Source organism: Homo sapiens, chromosome 9 (genome assembly GCF_000001405.40).
Source record: "Homo sapiens chromosome 9, GRCh38.p14 Primary Assembly".
NCBI classification, from domain to species: Eukaryota; Metazoa; Chordata; class Mammalia; order Primates; family Hominidae; genus Homo; species Homo sapiens.
Genome location: NC_000009.12, coordinates 27,166,029 through 27,186,662, shown reverse-complemented (window position 1 = coordinate 27,186,662; position 20,634 = coordinate 27,166,029). Strand labels below are relative to the sequence as shown.

The 20,634-nt window shown below is 39.0% G+C and overlaps 1 protein-coding gene across 5 annotated transcripts in view; it reads right to left on the bottom strand.

Annotated features, from left to right (window-relative positions):
• TEK (TEK receptor tyrosine kinase) overlaps positions 1-20,634 on the bottom strand; it is a 120,950-nt gene that overhangs the window by 43,512 nt on the left and 56,804 nt on the right. For 3 of the 5 annotated variants that reach the window (NM_001290077.2, NM_001290078.2, NM_001375476.1), the window contains 6 exons: positions 18,058-18,168; positions 17,034-17,186; positions 13,916-14,047; positions 13,301-13,441; positions 3,053-3,204; positions 1,034-1,178 (listed from right to left, as the gene is read on the bottom strand). In NM_001290077.2, coding sequence (NP_001277006.2) covers positions 1,034-1,178; positions 3,053-3,204; positions 13,301-13,441; positions 13,916-14,047; positions 17,034-17,186; positions 18,058-18,168 — 834 coding nt within the window. Of the gene's footprint in view, positions 1-1,033; positions 1,179-3,052; positions 3,205-6,294; positions 6,424-13,300; positions 13,442-13,915; positions 14,048-17,033; positions 17,187-18,057; positions 18,169-20,634 lie in introns of all 5 variants that reach the window. The other 2 variants (NM_000459.5, NM_001375475.1) reach the window with 1 other exon arrangement.

Genomic DNA, 20,634 nt, shown 5'->3' with positions numbered 1-20,634 from the left:
AAGAGATAGTGCTGGGTTTGGAGTCAGAAGATCCAGGTTTAATACTAAGATTTGTGCTTACAATGTGTGCTACTGTATAAAGTTGACCCTTTGTATCTGTGGGTTCACATCTGTGGATCAGCCAACTGTGGATCAAAAATATTCAGAAAACAAATTGTGTCTGAACATGTACAGACTTTTTTTCTTCTCATTATTCTCTAAACAATACAGGATAGCAACTATTTACAGAGCATTTACAATGTATCAGAAATTACAAGTAATCTTAGCCTAGTATCTTTCCTAGAATATATGCCAGAGAGCTGTTAGGTATTCTTGTCTAAACAGGTGATTAAGTAACTTGCGGATTTAAAATTCCTTGCTGTAGCTACGTACACCAGCCAAGTTAACGTGGACTTACCTCCATTTTAGTTCTTCCACTCAAGCCACAAATCTACACACAAACACTCAGATTAATTTGAATTTTGAAATACTAATTTATAGCAGGAAAAATGCCCACAGCCCTGAATGTGAAAAGACATTCATGTTAATTATATAGCATAGCCTGGGCTTCTTATTAAGTGAGTAATCCTCAAAATAGGGATTCTCCAAATAATTCTCTACAATAATGAACAGGAAGTCACAACGGCAATGCTAACCTTCTTGTGAAATATAATCACTACCAGATATGTTGTGCCTGACACAACTCCAAGTATTGTATGTGTTTAACAAGGCTTCACAATAACCCTAAGAGGTACCTAAATTATGCTTCATTTGCAAATACAGAGACACTCAAAAAGGTAACTTCATTTGGTCAAGGCCACCCACAAGATTATGAGCTGTTAGGGACAAAATCAAACCTGGGGCTGTGTGACTCCACAGTTCATACTCTTAATTTCTTCACTCTAGTTTCATGCATATAATTTTTTAAAGGCTTACTATCCTGGAAATTACCCCAAAGGTATTTTAGTGGTCGCATACATTTCTGTCTAGAAGCAGCAATACAAAAACATAATGCATCAAGGACACAATCCCTTTTTCTGGGAAATGAACTTACCTTTAACAGAAATGTTGAAGGGCTTTTCCACCATCCCAGCCACTGTGTTCACACTGCAGACCCAAACTCCTGAGTCAGGGGGGAGGATCCGGTGGATGGTGAATATGGCTACTGAGAAATGATCCGTATGGTTAAAGTCTTTTGGCTGAAAAGGTCAAATACAAAAAAATAAAAACTTCTAGGGAGGCATAAACGCAAAGGTCCATAACATTGACCCCATCTCATTGTTTAATAAGAAGTTTCCTAGGAGAGATCAAGAAGCTAAATGTAATGCTAATATAATTATTGGCTTATTTCCAAAGCTATTGTAGTAGCCCTGAAAGTTTATTTTGGATTGATGCCCTGTCAGATCCTGCTGTTGTATTTGTGTGTTTAGGAGTACGGGGTAAACACTTACAAGCAAGACACCTGAAGCATGATTTCTTTTAAACTCCTCCTCATAAGATTTGTTCCTTTCCTATCTAACACAGAGATGGCTGCGTGGGAGGACAAAGTGACTTCCTAAGTGTTTGAGAGGCTGTCAAGTGGGGAGTACTGGAAAAATCCAGGGTTCTGAAGAGAGATGGACCTCTGCCATTTTTTTTTTTTTGAGAGACAACAAAGTCTTGTTCCTTGGCTCAGGCTGGAGTGCAGTTGAGTGATCATAGTTCACTGCAGCCTCAAACTCCTGGCCTTAAGTGATCCCCCCACCTCACCCAAGTAGCTGGGACTACAGGTATATGCCACCATGTCCAGCTAATTCTTTTTTTATTTTTTAAGAGATGGGGTCTTGCTATGTTGCCCAGGCCGGTCTCAAATTTCTGGCCTAAAGTGATCCTCCCACCTCAGGCTTCCAAAGCACTGGGATTGCAGGCATGAGTCACCGTATCTGGCCTCTTTGCCATTTTTGACCAATTCCTTAGTTACTTAACTTCACCCAGCCAGTTCCCACTTCCGCCAAAAAAAAGAGACACTAGGCAATGTTAAGTAAGAAGTTACATATAGTTATGGCCAACCTTACTAAATAGTAGCCATTACTTTCATTAACTCATGAAAAAGCCAATAAGATTTTGGAAGCCATCAATTGGCTTCTTCTACCTGATGGGTTGTTTGAGTGGAATCAGGGACATTGAAACGTGGACCCTAGTAATGGTACATTCTACATATTCCTCCCTCAGAAGGTCACTCATACCTGCCTCTGGTCAAGCTGATTTTGGTCATCTTTGATAGAAAAATAGGATAATAAGTATTTCTAAATTTTTAGATTAAAAAATACATCAATATCCTAAGGATCACTTTCAACACAAGAGAAATTTGGGGTGGCTCCTGTCTCTGCTGCATTTGGTATAGTTGGGAGAGAGAAGGAAAGCATGTTCGAAAAGTAGCTTGATCCTTTTAAACAAAAAATAACTGCTGTGATATTACCTGACCATGGGTGAGCATCAGCAATGAAGGCAAAGGGAAGAGGTGGGTAGAAACCCAATGAATGCATTCAGACCTAAGGGATCCCGTGGATTGTAGTTTCAGAACTGGGGAACTCTCCTCTTCTATGCTCCCCTAAACTGCTGCTCCAAAGAGCGTAATAGGAGTGGACCGGTCATCAAAACTCCATGTCCTGGTTGCACTTGGTAGCACGTAAATCTGCTGATTCATGGGTTGCAACACCACCTTACTCTCCTGATATGAGTAGTTAGAGATATGGGGACACTGCGAGAGCAAAGCTTTGCACAGATTGACACGTACTTCTCCCCATACCAGCTGGACAGTCCTGCAGGATGTGTGCCATCCTTGGCACCCAGCTCTGTCAGTTCCCCAGGAGGCATATTCCCAACCATGCAGAGCAGTACTGGCCAACAGAAGAAATCAGTGAGGCTGCAGTGAGTCAGTTCTGCCTCTCCAGGAATAGGGCATTTTATCAAAGCCAACAACACACTAGCCTAGGAGGATAAAAGCACTGAATGGTATCTATCATTTAGTGGGGTGATTACTACACTGAAGCATCTCATGCTTTAAGAAGGGCAAATTAAGAATGGCTCTTACATGGAGCACTGTCCCATCCGGCTTCACCAGGGTCATTTCTTCATTAGTAGGTAGCGGCCAGCCAGAAGCTTTGCAAATGGGATTAAATTTACCACTGTTTACTTCTATATGATCTGGCAAATCCACTATCTTTGGGGTCATCCTCTGTATGCCTGAAGGAAGAAAACAGCACTGTGAAATCTAATATTTAACAGAGCCAGCAGCAGTAGTAATAATAAAAATAGCTACTTTAGTAAGTCATGCACCGGGCAAGAACTTTGCAAATATTTTACTGTTTTGTCATCACATAAGACACCTGTGATGTGGATGATATTGTGGTCTCCCATTTTATGGATGAGGAGACAGAGGCTCACAGCCCAGATTCAGACTCAGATCTTTATAAATCCAGAGTCCACGCTCTTTGCCATGAGGCTGTGCTCCTTTCATGGACCAGGGAGGAACAGTCTCAATATTAAAATGATTATCATGGCCATATCTCCCCTAGACTTTGCTGTTCAATCCCCCTCTTTCTTTTTACATGAATGATTACAAAAATACAACAAACAAAAAACTAGTTCTTCCTCCACTCATCAAATAACCCCATGGTATTGCTGTTCAACAGCATTGACCTCAGTTTAGATATACGAGAGATGTCTCATTCATTGGGAAGTCTGCAAATAGCAGATAACTAAGAGGAAAAGGTGAATAAAGTTGCTCACAAAAGAAGTACATCAAAGAAGTGAAATATAACTTCCCCAAATCAGTATCCACTCAACAGCCAAATCAAAAATGTTGCTGCCAATATTGAAAGAAGGAAAAATGTCTGTAGTGTCAATAAAGGTAATGGTGTCAGGATTTCTTGCCTAACATCTACACAGTAGAGAATGAATAACCCTGAAATATACCAATTTTATTCTGAACCATAGGGACTCAGGGAACTGTGGACTATTTGTAATTGAATGTGAGACATGTTTGAAAATTGTCCAACACTCAGTAAACAATGTAGGCGATAGAGGTGCCCTCAGAGCAGCAGTAACTACAGACTGTTTCTTATCGGTGGTGGGAAGAGGCGGGGTCAATAATGATATTTTATACTGATATCCTACTTCTCAGGCCTAGAATGAAATGGGTAAAGGTGTGGAGGAGAAGGGAAAGAGGTCTAATACTTACAAGGTTATTCCTTGATATATCTGTAAACTTGGAAAGATTATGGAAAACGTGCCAAGTTTTTCAGCCTAAGTAGCTATTTGAATAGGAATTGAAAAACATGTTTTGACACTTTTAAAGCATTTCTTTCCTTCATCGTCCCCTTGTATTTTCTGAAGCTGGGTGGGGGTGAAGGTGGATGTGCTGGGCTAAAGTGGAATCTGGGAAGGGAGCTACTCTCTGAAAGCCCTAGTGACACCCTGGTTAACCTGTCTTAGATTCTCCCATCAGAATGCACTCCTTTTGCAGCATCAGCAGAAGGGAACAGACGGGAAGGAACAAAGCACAAAATTCAAATCCTTAAACTTGTTAGCTGCCCACGTTCAATACAATCCCCTAGTAGCCCCATGGCATTTCCTTCCCTTTCTAACCACTCCCTGATTCCTGCCCTGTAGTAAAGTCCAGGCTTGGCAAAAGAAGAAAAAATATAAAGTTTAAGGACTTTGAGAAAACACTTACTGGCATCCCACCCCCACTCCCAATATTTGTTCTGATTTCCAAAAGTAACAGAAAAAAAGGCCATAGCTGTATTATTGTGAGTGTAGATTTCACTGGATATGTATTTATTTCAATGGCATTTATATTTATATGATTGAAAAAGCAATACATATTTATTAAGTTTGAAAATACATATGTCTGCTTCTTTTAATTTTAAAAAGTATATTCTACGACAGTGGATAGCAAACATTTTCTGTAAAGAGAGCAAATACAGTCAGCTTTGCAAGCCATGTTTTCTGCCCTTGTAGTACAAAAGCAGCCACAGACGACATACTATAAATGAATGGAGGTGGCTGTGATCCAAAATTTTTTTCTTTATAATAACAGATGGTGAGAAATAAAAAAGGAATGAAGTACTGATACATGCCACAACATAGATAAACCTCAAAAAAGGTGTGGCAAATGAAGCTAGTCACAAATGACGACGTATTATACAATCTTGTTTACAGCATATAAAATGTCAAGAACAGGCAATCTACAGAGACAGAAGATATGGTTGACCCTTGAACAATACAGGCTTCAACTGCATGGGTCCACTGACATGTGGATTTTTTTCAATAAATATATTGGAAAATTTTTTGGAGATTTAGGATAATTTGAAAAAACTCACAGACAAACTGTGTAGCCTAGAAATACCAAAAAAATTAAGAAAAAGGTATGTCATGAAGGCATAAAATATATACAGATACTAGTCTCTGTGTTAATTGACTATGTTATTGGTAAGGCTTCTCGTCAACAGAAGGCTATTAGTAGTTAAGTCTTTGGAGAGTCAAAAATTATATGTAGATTTTCTACTGCGAGAAGGGTCAGTACCCCTAGCCCCCATGTTGTTTAAGGTCAACTGCAAATAAATGGTTGTCAGAAATTAGGATGATTGGAAAATGGAAGTTTCTATTAATGGGTACAAGGTTTGTTTTGGTATGATGAATATGTTGTAAAATTAGATTATGGCAATGATGGCATAGCTCTGTAAATATACTAAAAACCACTGAATTTACATTTTAAAAAGTTGAACATTATAATATAAAAAATGTATCTCTATAAAGCTGTTTAAAAAAAGATAGTGGGCTGGATTTAGTCTGTGGGTTAAAGTTTGCTGACTCCTGCTGAAGAGTAACTTCTGAACTAGAATGACATAAAATTTCATTTTGAGCATAATCTTTTCTATTTGTTTTATTCTTTCTATTGCTTTAAAAATATCCCCTGTCTAAATCCATCCCAAATTGCTCTTTCTCTGTTACGCATGTCCAGGGAAAAGGTTGGTCCTAGAGAAGGGAGCAGAAAAGGTAGGAGAGCTCTCAGCTGGCCAGTCATCACTTAAGCTGCTACAAAGAGCACGTGGTTTATGCCTAGTGCAAAGACAAATAAAGCCTACTATTAGGGTCAGTAGAGCAGAATTAAAATGCTGTGCTTTAGGATTTAGGATAAACTATTCCCAACTTCTGGATGGAAACAAAAGAGGCTTGAGGATCTTAGAATGCCGGCACAAGAATTACACTACCAAAGCTCAGTTCAGACATGCTGAACATGGCCCTGACTACAGTGTTACCTTGCTTTACCTTCTCTCTCACACTGGAGCCCCTGCCATCCTGGAGAGCAGAGACATCCTTGGAAGCGATCACACATCTCCCCATTGTTGCAGCTGCACCTAAGCTTACAATCTGGCCCGTAAAAACCAGGGTGGCATGCTGTAAACAGAGACATCAAAAAACCAGTATTAATCCAGGGGAAGAGAGGAAACTAAGACTGCAGGTGTTTAGTTTTATTTTTCTCTCTAAGCCATCAACTTTGCTGATTTGTGTAAGGTAGGGGGTAATTTATCTGAATTACCAGGAACTTAAAAAGCTGGGGAGTTATGCTTCCAAAAAAAGTTGAATGAGCTCCTATCATGCCAACTTTCTTGTAGGTACAACTACATTTAGAAAATAACTTCCTGAAAGCACTTAAGAGTGGGATAGGAAGAAAAAAGACCTGGAAGATTCTGGAGGGGAATTGAAATTTGGAAGATGGGAATGATGTGTTTCCCAATTTTCAGCTTTTAGCCTAACTGTTAGGTACAGTTGACACCACGTATGGAAGCTACAACTCCAAAGAAAACCTGCAGTCTACTGGCCTGATGCATCAGAGACAGAGTCAGGAAAACCACAGCCACTGGAGAGAGAGGGAAAACCCAGAAAGAGTCAGAGAAAAGTCCCAGATCTTTGGCTGATCCTTGATCCATGCATGCTCAGTATAGACTCAAAGCAGCCCAGCTAAAGATAAAAGAACTAAACTGAGTTTGACCTGATTCCTAACAGTGAGAGTTTGAGGTTTGAATCCTACCAAGTTAATTGCCTGCTAAAACAAAACAAAATCAACATTCCCAAAAGGAATGTATCATATTCCAGAGTCTCCATAATGTAACATTTTCAATGTTCAAGATACAATCCAAAGAAGAAATGGAGAATTAAGGCCCGTTTTTTAAAGGAAAAGAAAATAAATAGAGACCAACTGTGATGACTCAGATGTTGGAATAGACAAGAATTTTAAAACAACTATAATAACTATGCTCAGTAAGGTAAAAGAAGATATGTTCATAACAAATGCAACAATGAGAAACTTCAGCAGGGAAATAGAAACTATTTTTAAAAAGCAAAAGGAATTCTAAAACTGAAAAACACAATATTTGAAATCAAATAATCACTGTATGGACTTAGCAACAGAATGGAGATAACAAAAGAAAGAGTCAATAAACTTGAAGCAACATCAATAGATAGCCCATCTAAAGAAGAAAAGTAGGAAAAAGGTTGGAAAAAAATGATTTTTAATCCTTAGGGACCCAAGAGACAAAACATCTAACACACATGTAACTGGAGGTCCAAGAAGGACCAGAGAGAAAGGGTTAGACAAAATATTTGAAGAAATAATGGTTTAAATTATCCCAATTTGTTGAAATTTACACATTCAAAAATTTGTTAAGCCCTTAGCAGAATAAATATAAAGTAAACTATGCATAGGCACATCATGGTTAAACTGCTAAAAACTAAAAATCAAGATAATTTAAAATGTTAGCTTTTTAAGACTGTTTCTTTATAGTAGAATATTTAAGCCATTCAAATTATGTTTTGATACTTGTAATAAGCTCCTGGGAAGACAGGGTAGAAGCATTATTTTCCCTTGGAGCTCACTAAACCTGCCAGGACAATTCTTAGAATTTGGTACATGGCAAATGGATTCTGTTAACTGGGTGTCCTTATTTTGGTCAACTGTAACATTACTAGAAGGCTTCTAACCAAAAATTAATGCAAAAGCTTGTCTTTTGGGGCTATGATGATTTGTTTTGATTTTGTATTTTATTCACCCAGCTAAAATGCAGTCTTTATTTTTAGTATCAATCACAACTAAGTTATCTACAAATTCAATACAATCACTATCAAAATTGCAATGGTATTTTTCACAGAAATAGAAAAAACGATACTAAAATTTATATTGAACCACAGAAGGCCTAGAATAGCCAAAGCAATATTGAGCAAGAAGAACAAAGCTAGAGACATCACATTACCTGATTTCAAAATATATTACAAAGCTATAGTAATAAAAACAGTATGGTACTGGCATAAAAACACACATATAGACCAACGGAACAGAATTGACAGCCCAGAAATAAATTTACACATTTACAGTTAACAGATTCAACAAAAGTATGAAGAACACACAACAGGGAAAGGATAATCTCTTCAATAAATAGTCCTGGGAAAACTGGATAACCACAAGCAGAAGAATAAAATTAGAACCTCATCTCATTATATTCAAAACTCAAAACAAAATTGACTAAAGACACAACATAAGACCTGAAATTGTAAAACTACTAGAAGAAAACAGACGGGAAAAGCTTCTTGATACTGATCCGGGCAATGATTTTTTTGGATATGACCTCAAAAGCACAGACAACAAAAGCACAAATAGACAAATGTGATTGCATCAAACTAACAAGCTTCTGCACAGCAAAGAAAACAATCAACAGAGTGAAGAAACAATGTATGGAACAAGAGAATGTATTTCCAAAGTATACACCTGATAAGAGGTTAATATCCAGAATATATAAGGAACGCAAACCACTTAATAGCAAGAAAACAACCTGATAAAAAAATGGACAAAGGACCTGAATAGACATCTTTTTTTTTCTTTTTCATTTTTTGAGATGGAGTTTCACTCTTGTTGCCCAGGCTGGAATGCAATGGCATGACCTCAGCTCACCACAACCTCCACCTCCCTGGTTCAAGCGATTCTCCTGCCTCAGCCCCCCAAGTAGCTGGGATTAAAGGCATGCACCACCGTGCCTGACTAATTCTGTATTTTTAGTAGAGACGGGGTTTCTCGTTGTTGGTCAGGCTGGTCTCGAACTCCCAACCTCAGGTGATCCGCCCGCCTTGGCCTCCCAAAGTGCTGGGATTACAGGCATGAGCCATCGTGCCCAGCCGACATCTCTTAAAAGACGACATACAAATGGCCAACAGGTCTATGAAAAATACTCAACCTCACTGATCATCAGGGAAATGAAAATCAAAACCACAATGAGATATCACATCACGCCTGCTAGAATGGCAAGGATGTAGATAATAGGGAACCCTTGTATGCTGTTGGTGGGAATGTAAATTGGTACAGTCATTATGGAAAACAATAAGGAAGTTCTTCAAAACACTCAAAATAGAACTGCCATATGATCCAGCAATCCCATTTCTGGTATATATCCAAGAGAAATGAAATCACTATCTCAAAGAGACATCTGTTTTCTCATGTCCATTGCAGCATTGCTTACAGTAGCCAAAATATGGACTTGACCATTCGTCCATCCATGGATGAATGGATAAAGAAAATGTGGTGTGTACACATATATAATGGCATATTATTCAGCCTTTGAAAAGAAGGAAATCCTGTCATTTGCAACAACACGGATGAACCTGGAGGGCACCATGCTAAGTGAAATAAGCCAGGCATATAAAGACCAATACTGTAAGATCTCTTCTATAAGTGGAATCTGAAAAAGTCAAACTTATAGAAGCAGAGTAGCATAGTGGTTCCCAGGGACTACAGGGTGGAGGAAATGGGGAGATGTTGGTCAAAGGGCAAAAACTTTTAATTACACAGTAGGATAAGTAAGTTCTGGAGTTCTAATAGACAGTGTGGTAGCTAAACTTAATATTACTGTATTGTACACTTGAAATGTGCTGAGCAATTTTAAATGCTCTCACCACACCCACACACACAGATAACTGTGTGAGGTGATGGATATGTTAATTAGCTTAACAGCAGTAATCATTTCACAATGTATAGATATATCAAAATATCACATTTTGCACCTTAACTACATACAATTTTTATTTAGCAATTAGACCTTGATAAAGCTGGAAAAAAACTTAATCACAACTTCTTACTCAAAGCAGATGGTAGAAAGGTTAAGAACTATTAATAAGCATAAAGGAAATCTGACTACTGAAATCAAGTTTCTGTTGGGATGGCAGAAGACCTTAAAATATCATGAAGCCTTGATTTTTTTAGTTTCTAGAATACACTAGAACTTTCTTCCTGGCAAAGTGTTCTGAATGACTTTGAATTATCACATATTTGCACAGTGGAATTCCCCTGTTCTCTTTATTGTCCCCACTATTTGCTTCAAAAATTTCTATTATTGCTTATTTCCTCAGATAGAAACCAGCCCTGATACATAAAACTTGCCAGTGTACAATCTATTGTTGACTATTCTAAATCCTGGACTATTAAAGGAGACCATGTCCTTAAGTAGTTACTGTTAGAAATGTCTCCTTGCTTTCCTACTGCTTTTTGGATGGAATGAACAGGATAGTAATTGTTGAAAGGAGTCTGGAAGAATATTAGAACAGTTCTATTCATAAAATCTTGGTGATTTCTTGAGCCAGGAATGGGCTGAGATGAGTTCATGAAATGTACTCTTATAAACCTGGGCAAGAAACTACCATCAGAGTGAACAGGCAACCTACAAAATGGGAGAAAATTTTCACAACCTACTCATCTGACAAAGGGCTAATATCCAGAATCTACAATGAACACAAACAAATTTACAAGAAAAAAACAAACAACCCCATCAAAAAGTGGGCAAAGGATATGAAGAGACACTTCTCTAAAGAAGACATTTATGCAGCCAAAAGACACATGAAAAAATGCTCATCATCACTGGCCATCAGAGAAATACAAATCAAAACCACAATGAGATACCATCTCACACCAGTTAGAATGGCGATCATTAAAAAGTCAGGAAACAACAGGTGCTGGAGAGGATGTGGAGAAATAGGAACACTTTTACACTGTTGGTGGGACTGAAAACTAGTTCAACCATTGTGGAAGTCAGTGTGGCGATTCCTCAGAGATCTAGAACTAGAAATACCATTTTACCCAGCCACCCCATTACTGGGTATATACCCAAAGGATTATAAATCATGATGCTATAAAGACACATGCACACGTATGTTTATTGTGGCACTATTCACAATAGCAAAGACTTGGAACCAACCCAAATGTCCAACAATGATAGACTGGATTAAGAAAATGTGGCACATATACACCATGGAATACTATGCAGCCATAAAAAATGATGAGTTCATGTCCTTTGTAGGGACATGGATGAAATTGGAAATCATCATTCTCAGTAAACTATCACAAGGACAAAAAACCAAACACCGTATGTTCTCACTCATAGATGGGAATTGAACAGTGAGAACACATGAACACAGGAAGGGGAACATCACACTCTGGGGACTGTTGTGGGGTGGGGGGAGGGGGGAGGGATAGCATTAGGAGATATACCTAATGCTAAATGACGAGTTGATGGGTGCAGCACACCAGCATGGCACATGTATACATATGTAACTAACCTGCACATTGTGCACATGTACCCTAAAACTTACAGTATAATAATAATAATAATAATAAAAAGAATTAAAAAAAAAACAAAAAAACCTGGGCCCAGAGACACATTCACTACAAAGCTGATGAAGTTTATGTTCTAGAGACTGCTGGCATGCACCGCTTCCTGGGTCCTAGCAAAGTGTTCATAGTTTGCGTAACATTTTAATTTTTTTTAAAATACAAGGGATCTGCCCCCTGCCTGGAGTCACCTTTTACCTTAACATACACACTTCAGAGGCCAGATGGGATTTCTCCACTGCTGTGGCTCACTGCATGTTCCGGGGGGCAGACATAGCATTTAGAGGGAACTGAATGAGGTATTGCAGGTGGCTGAAGCTTACTTTTGTGTAACTCTCCTCTTTGTCCTCCTCCTCCAAGCCCCTGGAGCTATGCTGTCCAGTACAGTTAGCCACGTGTGGCTATGGAACTCTTAAAATATAGCTAGTCCAAACTGAAATTTCAAAGACTTACTATGAAAAAGGGAATGTAAAATATCTCATTAATACTTTTTTCTATTGATTACATGTTGAACTGATAATGTTTTTAACATATTGGGTTAATAGATCAAAATTATTTCACCTATTTCTCCTCACTTTTTTAATGTGGACACTAGAAAATTTTAAATTCTATATGTGGATGGCTTATATTTCTACTGAACTGCTCTGCCCTGGAGCATTGTTATCAAGTTGCTGGGACCCCATCGTAGCTACCTTTAGTGCCGGATATGGGAAAAGCTGACTTTGTGAGATAAACACTGAAAAGCCTTTGAGCTCTGGCTAATTCACAGTATTAATATACATTAGGGAGGTTCTGTCACATTTGTCTGCAGGTTCATGTTGAGCTACTATGCAACAGTAGATGTGAAATGCATACTGAAAAGTGGATGTCAGATGCACTCCACAGAGCCTGGTCAAATGGGAAAGCTTATTTTACAAAGGGCAGAGGGACTCTGAGTAGATGATGTTAGTACTACTTGCATAAGGTCCACGGCAGGTAAGATTTTAACTTCTTCAATTTTTGAGCCCCAAATCCTGTCTGGATCTGACATAAAAGCTCTGATTTTGATTTTTTTTTTTTTAAACGAGGTCTCACTCTGTTGCCCAGGCTGGAGTGTAGTGGTGCAATCATAGCTCACTGCAGCTTCAAACTCCTGGGCTCAAGGGATCCTCCTGCCTCAGCCTCCTGAATAACTGGGACAACAGGCATGTGCTACCATGCCTGGCTAAAGCTGTGATTTTATGATTCACTGAAAAAAAAAAAAAAAAAAAACCAAAAAAAAAAAACAAGTCTTCTATGGTCTTCCTACTCAAAGCATGGTCTGAAAACCAGTAACATCGGAACTACTTGGGAGCCTGTTAGAAATGCAGAACCTCGGGCCCCAGTCCATGCCTACCAAATCAGAATCCGTGCTTTAGTAAAGATCCCCAGATGATAGTTATGAGAAGTACTTTCTATGCGGTCTAGATTTTTACTGTGAAAGTATAATTAACATTGGATGTAAACATCCATGATTCAAAATCCTGTTGTCCAGTAGTGGGTAGCTAAGCAGTCCAGGTATATCCGATGTTGTGATTGACAGCAAACTGGATCTCCTTTATATACCTGCTAGAACATCCTCTGTCCAAGGGTGTGATTGGTGCATACCTTCATTGCACTGCAGACCCTTCCAGCCTGTGGCACAGGAACACCCATAGGGGTCAGGGAGACAGAACACATAAGACTTGCATCCCTCTTGTCCACTGCACCTTTCTTTACAAGTTCTGCCAAACGTGTGCAGTTCACAAGCTTTGGGAGGAAAAGAAAAGATGATTCAGAGTCAAATATGCAACCCCTTGAAATACATAATTCTTTAGATTCATTTCTCCTAGTCTAGTGAATATGGGAAACAGTCAAATCTCAGCTGTGGCATGGTAGGATGAACATACCCTTATGGCCCATTTTACTGATAATGAAACTGCCCCACAGAGCAGACATCAGGGACATCACTCACAATCATGCAGGTTTGTGCAGTGCACAAACCTAGGGGGCAGCATTCACACTGTAAACATCACGGATCTGTATATTTATTATAACTTTCCAGTGGTTGGCATTAAAGAACCTTTAGGAAAAGGCACCTTTTTCTAATTCACACACAGGTACCATCTGACCTAACAGAGGCCATTTAGCGTCCATTCCCATCTGTGTCGAGATCTAAAATTCTAGATCCAGCAACGATGGCTTTTTAAATCCACAGCTTACTTATCAAGTCTCTTTACTTACCCTTCTCACACGTCCTTCCCATAAACCCAGGAGGGCAAATGCATTCTCCAGTATCTTCATGGCAGACACCATTGTTCATACAAGCAGTACAGAGATGGTTGCATTCAGGTCCCCACTTCTGGGCTTCACATCCTTTTGTTAAGGAAAACAAGGCTGTGGTGAGTAGAGCGCATTCGCTCAACACATCTTTATTGAGCACCTACTGTGTGTCAGTCATTCAGTGGACAATGGTGAATAAAGATAAAATACAGGCTCTGCTCTCTAAAAGCTCATCATCTAATATGGGAGACAGACATGTAAACAGGAAATCGCGACAGAAACAAAGACAAGGAGTACCTAACTCTGTCTGGTGGATAGAAGAGGGCATAAAGGAAGGCTTCCCAGAGGATATGGTATGCAAGCTGAATCTGCAGGACCAACTAAGTAGCAAAGAAGATAAGGCTGGAGAGTGTCTTCCAGGCAAAGACAAGGCATGGGAAGACAGCATGGCATGTCCAGGGAGCTGCAGGTATGGTTACAGGCTGGAGCTGTGGTTTTCAAAGTGTGGTCTCTGACCAGTAGCATCCCCATCATCTGGGAATCTGTTAGAAATGCAAACCCCAGATCCCACCCAACCACGACCTACTGAATGAGAAATTCTAGAAGTGGCGTAGTAATCTGTGCACATTGGTGTCAGAAGTGTTGTGTTCAGTGAGAGCAGAGATTAGGAAAAACACTTTGGTTTTCCTATCTCAAACAACTATATATCAACATGTATAGGTATGTCTGACCTTCCTAGAAGATGTACCCCATTTACCCTCTGAGTACACCTAGTACATGGTGTTATATCAGACTCCAGAGAAACTAGCTAAATGAAATAAAGGCAAATTGCTTCCTTGACATTCAGACTCTCCTGAGTAGTGGAATAAAAGGGGATGTCACTTGCTTCTCCCAAGTCCACAGAAACTTCATGTAAAGGTAGCTGTGAGGCAAGCTACTAGAAGCTGAATATTGCAGTTTTGCTATCATCATAAATTATATTTTTTAAGATTCATATTACAAAAAGGCTGCTCTGACATTTAATAGAAGTCAAGCACAGTAGTCATCCAGAAGGAAATAGGTCTTGGGTACGTGGAAAGATTCCCCTCGACTCAAGCCCAAATAGTCCTGCCTATAAAACACCTTGCTATATTTTATGTCCATAGAGGTGGCTAAGCATGGAGCATAAACTAGAGGAACCACACTTCTCATACTTCTATTGTCATTTTTCAATATTTATTTAGCTAATTATACACGTGCCTACTCTGATTGGGAATGACCCAAAGGACACGGATTTATCTTATGATCCTGTATTCTCAACACCAACACAATTCTTGGCACAGAGTTATGACCAACACATTTTGGTAAATGAATGGGGGAACATAACGCAAAGCAAATGAATTGGAGATGGCAATCGTTAGAGGAATGACAGAGAAGCCCAGGCATTTAGACCTGAAGACTTCAATATTTAATATTATGAAAACCTGATCTAGCTGGGGAAAATTCAGGGCAAATCATTTTCTTTCTATTTGTGAAGTTCCTGTAAAAATTACAGGAAAATGTAATGGTGATATTTATGCCCCCACTTCAATAGTTATAATGGAGAAAAAAAGTTTTTACTAGTTCTAACTCTTACATTTTTCAAAACTGAAAATAAAAATCACACATAAGAGTTAAATGACCTGGGAAGTGTGGGATTTACAGGAGGCAATGTTTAAGCAGATGTTAGTCTAACCCAAGAGGTCCAACTCATCCCCCTAGAGCAGACACGTTTCAGTGAGACTGCTTTACTCGTTGTGATCCCCCTTTTTATATGGATGATTATGCTGTACAAATGTGAGCTTCTAGTGCCTGTAACGTGTAGTACGTGACTCCACCCTTGTCTATAGCTCACTGGTCTAGGCTGATAGACATCTAATATATGTTAGGCCAATCTGATTATTTATCCTGGAAATTCAAAATTTGGAAGTGAAAGAAACATTGCTGAAGCTGAGACATGGTAAAAGCAGCATCTTAGAGAGAAAGCCCACTCCCTTACCTCCCCACACCCACCACAACTGAGCCTCAGCTCTTCCTTGAAGCTTATCTTTTCTGGAACTTGCTTTATAGTTTTTGTTTTTGTTTTTGAGACAAGGTCTTGCTCTTTCAACCAGCCTGGCCCACTGCAGCCTCGACCTCCCGAGCTTGAACTATCCTCCCACCTCAACCTGTCAAATAGCTAGAACTACAGGCATGCATCACCATGCCTGGCTAATTTTTGTATTTTTTGTAGAGACGGGGTTTTGCCATGTTGCCCAGGCTGGTCTCAAACTCTTGAGCTCAAAGGGCCTCTCAAAGTGCTGAGATTACAGGCATGAGCCACCGTACCCAGCCACTTTTCAGCTTTCCCATCAGTTTATTAAGAGTCCTTAGTGTCCCCGTCTGGTATGGTTTGGCTGTGTCCCTACCCAAATCTCATCTTGAATTGTAGTTCCCATAATCCCCACGTGTTGTGGGAGGAACCCAGTAGGAGGTAAGAGGTCATTTAATCATGGAGGCAGTTGCCCTCATGCTGTTCACATGATAGTGAGTGAGTTCTCATGAGATTTGATGGTTTAATATGGTGCTTCCCCCTCTCCTTCACTCTCATTCTTCTCTCTCCTGCCGCCATGTGAAGAAGGATGTGTTTGCTTCCTCTTTTGCCATGATTGTAAATTTCCTGATGTCTCCCCAGCCATATTGAACTGTGAGTCAATTAAACCTCTTCCCTTAATAAATTACCCAGTCTCAGGTATGTCTCAATAAAGAGCATGTGAAATTAGAAATGATTTGCCCTGAGAAAAGAAAATGATTTGCCCTGAGTTTTCCCCAGCTGTATCAAGTATTTGTAATATTAAATATTTAAGTCTTCAGGTCTAAATACCTGGGTTTCTCTGTCATTCCTCTAATGATTGCTATCTCTTATTCATTTGCTTTGCAGCATAAGAACAGACTAATACAACCTCCAACCAATGCCTGGTTTTTGCTTAAGAAGCCATGGTTAGTTTCTGTTATTTGCAACTAAAAATCCTAACAACCTAACAACTACACCATCACAAATGGTGGCCTCTCCATCACTTACTCCGGACTATCAGCCTGGTGAAGGCCGAGGTGAAGAGGTTTCCTCCTATATACCTGGCCGAGTACACTCCAGCATCCTGGGGCTGAGCATGAGGCAGGTGTACTTCTAGAATATCAGGTACTTCATGCCGGGGCACTGAATGGATGAAGGAACCTAGTAAGAGGGAAGAGTGAAGAACCGTAGGTCACACTGAAACATACCTGCTTCCTTGTCTGGTTTCTCCACTTAATTAGCTTTCCCTGACATGGTCAAGAAAATGTGCTCTCACATATTGGATGTGGGAGAAGAATGAAAATGCTGAACTATTCAGTACTCTCTCAATAGTCAAGAAAGTCATAGTGATAGAACAGATAGGTTAGTCTGTGGGATCTACCACCAAACACATGAAGATGGGGGTGGTCTAAGTTCTTACATTCTACAGGGAGAGGCGAACATAGTTGGCAGGCAAAGTTAGGTGAAAAATGATAGGTAACCCTGTCAACTAACCAATTAACCAGGAGATATCTATAATCGCTACTCCAATCTGGAAGTCCTATCCACTCACAGACTTCAGAATGATCCCCATCAATATTCCAGCTGGATCAGGCAACTGACACTGGGTGGTACGAAACCATAGCTAGGACCTAGACACATTTGGATTACACAGTTGGACTGCCAGAACTGCTAACAATTGGCTTCCCATGTTTACTGTGGTAATTTCCTAAACCTTGCAATCAACAATGTCACAATCAAAGAAACTCACACTTTATATGGCTGAAGTTGGGATCTCACATTATGATGGGGTTTTATTGTATGTACATACACCATGTACATTCATATATATGAATTCCACTTTAATATCCTTAAGTAACCAAATATGTCACCTAAGAGGGCTTCTATCATACACAGAATTTGAAAGCTTGCATCATAGCAGCTTTAATTCAAACATCTGCCCACAAGACCACAATAGGAAAATGATTCAATATGTTGTATGTTATCTGATATCTCACATCATACTGGGGAAAGCAATGAAACACATACTCACCATTTTTGTAAATCACTGCATCTTCTTCTTTAATCAATACCTTTTTGAAAGATATGTTCACGTTATCTCCCTTGTCCACAGTCATAGTTAAAGTAGCTGGTAGGAAGGAAGCTTTTAAAAGAGAGAAAACAAATACCAAAAATGGGATCACACATTTTCTCCAGGAGCAATTGAGCTTTGAGACTCAGAAAATGAGGGCTGGCACTTGCTAGGTGTCAGATGGTTTTTGGAAGGTGAAAAACAGTGGTGGCTAATGCGTTTTAACCTTTCTTAACATTATGTACCTTTCTAAGAATCTGATGAAAGGGATGGTCACTTCCTTTATAAGAGTGTAAATATATACAAACAATATGCCTATACACAATTTTTCTATTCAGTGGTTGGGGAGATGAGGACTTTGTGTTGATTAGTTCAGAATGAATATCCCTTATCTCAGATACTTAGGACCAGAAGTGTTTCAGATTTTATTTTTCCATTTTGAAATATTTGCATTATGCCAGCTAAGGATCCCAAATCAGAAAATCTGAAATCCAAAATGCTCCAATGAACATTTCCTTTGAGCATCAAATTGGCTCTCAAATATTTTTGGATCTTGGAGCATCTCAGATTTCAGATTTTTGGATTTGGAACACTCAAACTGTACCTATTATCAAACTAAGTCCTGATACTAACAATAAACTATATTAACTATGAATCTGCCATCCTTCTCCAATCCCAAGTATTCTTAAAGTGGGAAAAAAAAAACATGAATGAAATCTGAGTTTCCCCAAAGTGAAAGAGAAAAAAAATTTACCAAATGGCTTTTCCCCTGGTCCTTTTGTGTTGCTGTTGTTCCAAATAATTCTAATTGCTTTAGAATGCCCCATGCGTTGCTCAAATAAAATGAGCAAAATGCTGGACTTACTACTTATGGTGTAAATATTGGAAGATTGAAGAATAAAGACAAGGATGGAATCTAATATCTTGCCTTCTACCTTTTAATTATATATGTATGAACTGACACAGTTATGGAACTGGACAGTACTGACATGTAACTGGGAAAATTATTTTATATTTGACTTACAAAATCATAAGCCAAGGCCAGGCACAGTGGCTCATGCCTGTAATCCCAGCCCTTTGGGATGCCACCGTAGACAGATCACTTGAGGTCAGGAGTTCGAGACGAGCCTGGCCAACATGGCAAAACCCCATCTCTACTAAAAATACAAAAATTAGCCGGGCACGGTGGGACATGCCTTTAATTCCAGCTACTCGGGAGGCTGAGGTAGGAGAATTGCTTGAATCCGGGAGGCGGAGATTGCAGTGAGCCAAGATCATGCCACTGCACTCCAGCATGGGCAACAGAGCAAGACTCAGTCTCAAAAATAAAATAAAATAAAATAAGCCAATTGATTGAAAATTTCTGTTACTGTGTCAAGCTTGCCATGCAACATTGACTGATTCCCTTGGCTTATTGGACAAGATATGGGAATAAAATCTTCTAACTTTCTTCCAGCAACAAGAGTTTCTGAATTCCCTTAACTTATATCATAATCTGCAGAAAGCCAAACTCTGTGACATAAGGAGGCATTAGCTTTAGGCTTTAAGTTAAGCCAATGTTAACAATATAAGGATCACCACTAAAGGAAGAGAAACAGTCTATCTAACTTTCCTCAACAAGAGGGCAAGAGAGAAGATAAGGAAACAAAAGACATAAAATGAGAAAAAAAGGACCAGAGAAAATCATGGTGTGGAAAAGATAGGATAAGGTGGCAGACATTATGCCAAATGTATGTTAAAAGACAGGAGCTCACATCAAATTCAGATCAGAAAATCTTAGATTCTAGAATCTCAATTCTAAAACACACACACACATAAAACTGTGTGCTCTTTCATGAAGTATACATTCGACATAATGGCACATAAGATTGTGAATAAAGGGATATAAAAATATATAGCAAACTAATACTAAATAAAGCTAGTATTGCAACATTTATACAGAAAAAATTATTATAAAGCTAAAAATTAGGGATATAGATGGTCATTATGTAATGATAAAACAGAACCATCTACTAACTGATAAAACCTTGTTAGATTTTATTCACGTGTCATGTTCAGGAAGATATTGTAATCCTGAAATTATATATGCATCTAACAACAGAATTTCAAAGCTCATGAAACAAAAAGTGTCAGAATTAAAGAAACTGACAAATCCGTGAACACGGTGGAAACTTTCAGAAATTAATCAAAAAGACTGAAAATTACTAAGGAAATATTTAGAAGATTTTAATAACACTATTAGAGATCTGTTGAATATTCATTAACCCCTTGCTCAGTTATTGAAATACACATTATTTACCAGAACATTGCCTGTTTATCCACAAAGCACATCTCTGTTAATAACAAAATTCTCTGACCAGAATGCACCTAAATTAGAAATTAATAGCAAAACATCCTGTCCCCCAAAGTAAGAATTCCTATAAAGATTCAGACCAGGACCAAGCCTTGGGATCATAGGGATCCTGCTGAGGACCTTGTGATGAACCAGCTGGTCGCTGTGCCCTCATTCTCATCTCATCCGTGGCTTTCAGATGGTGG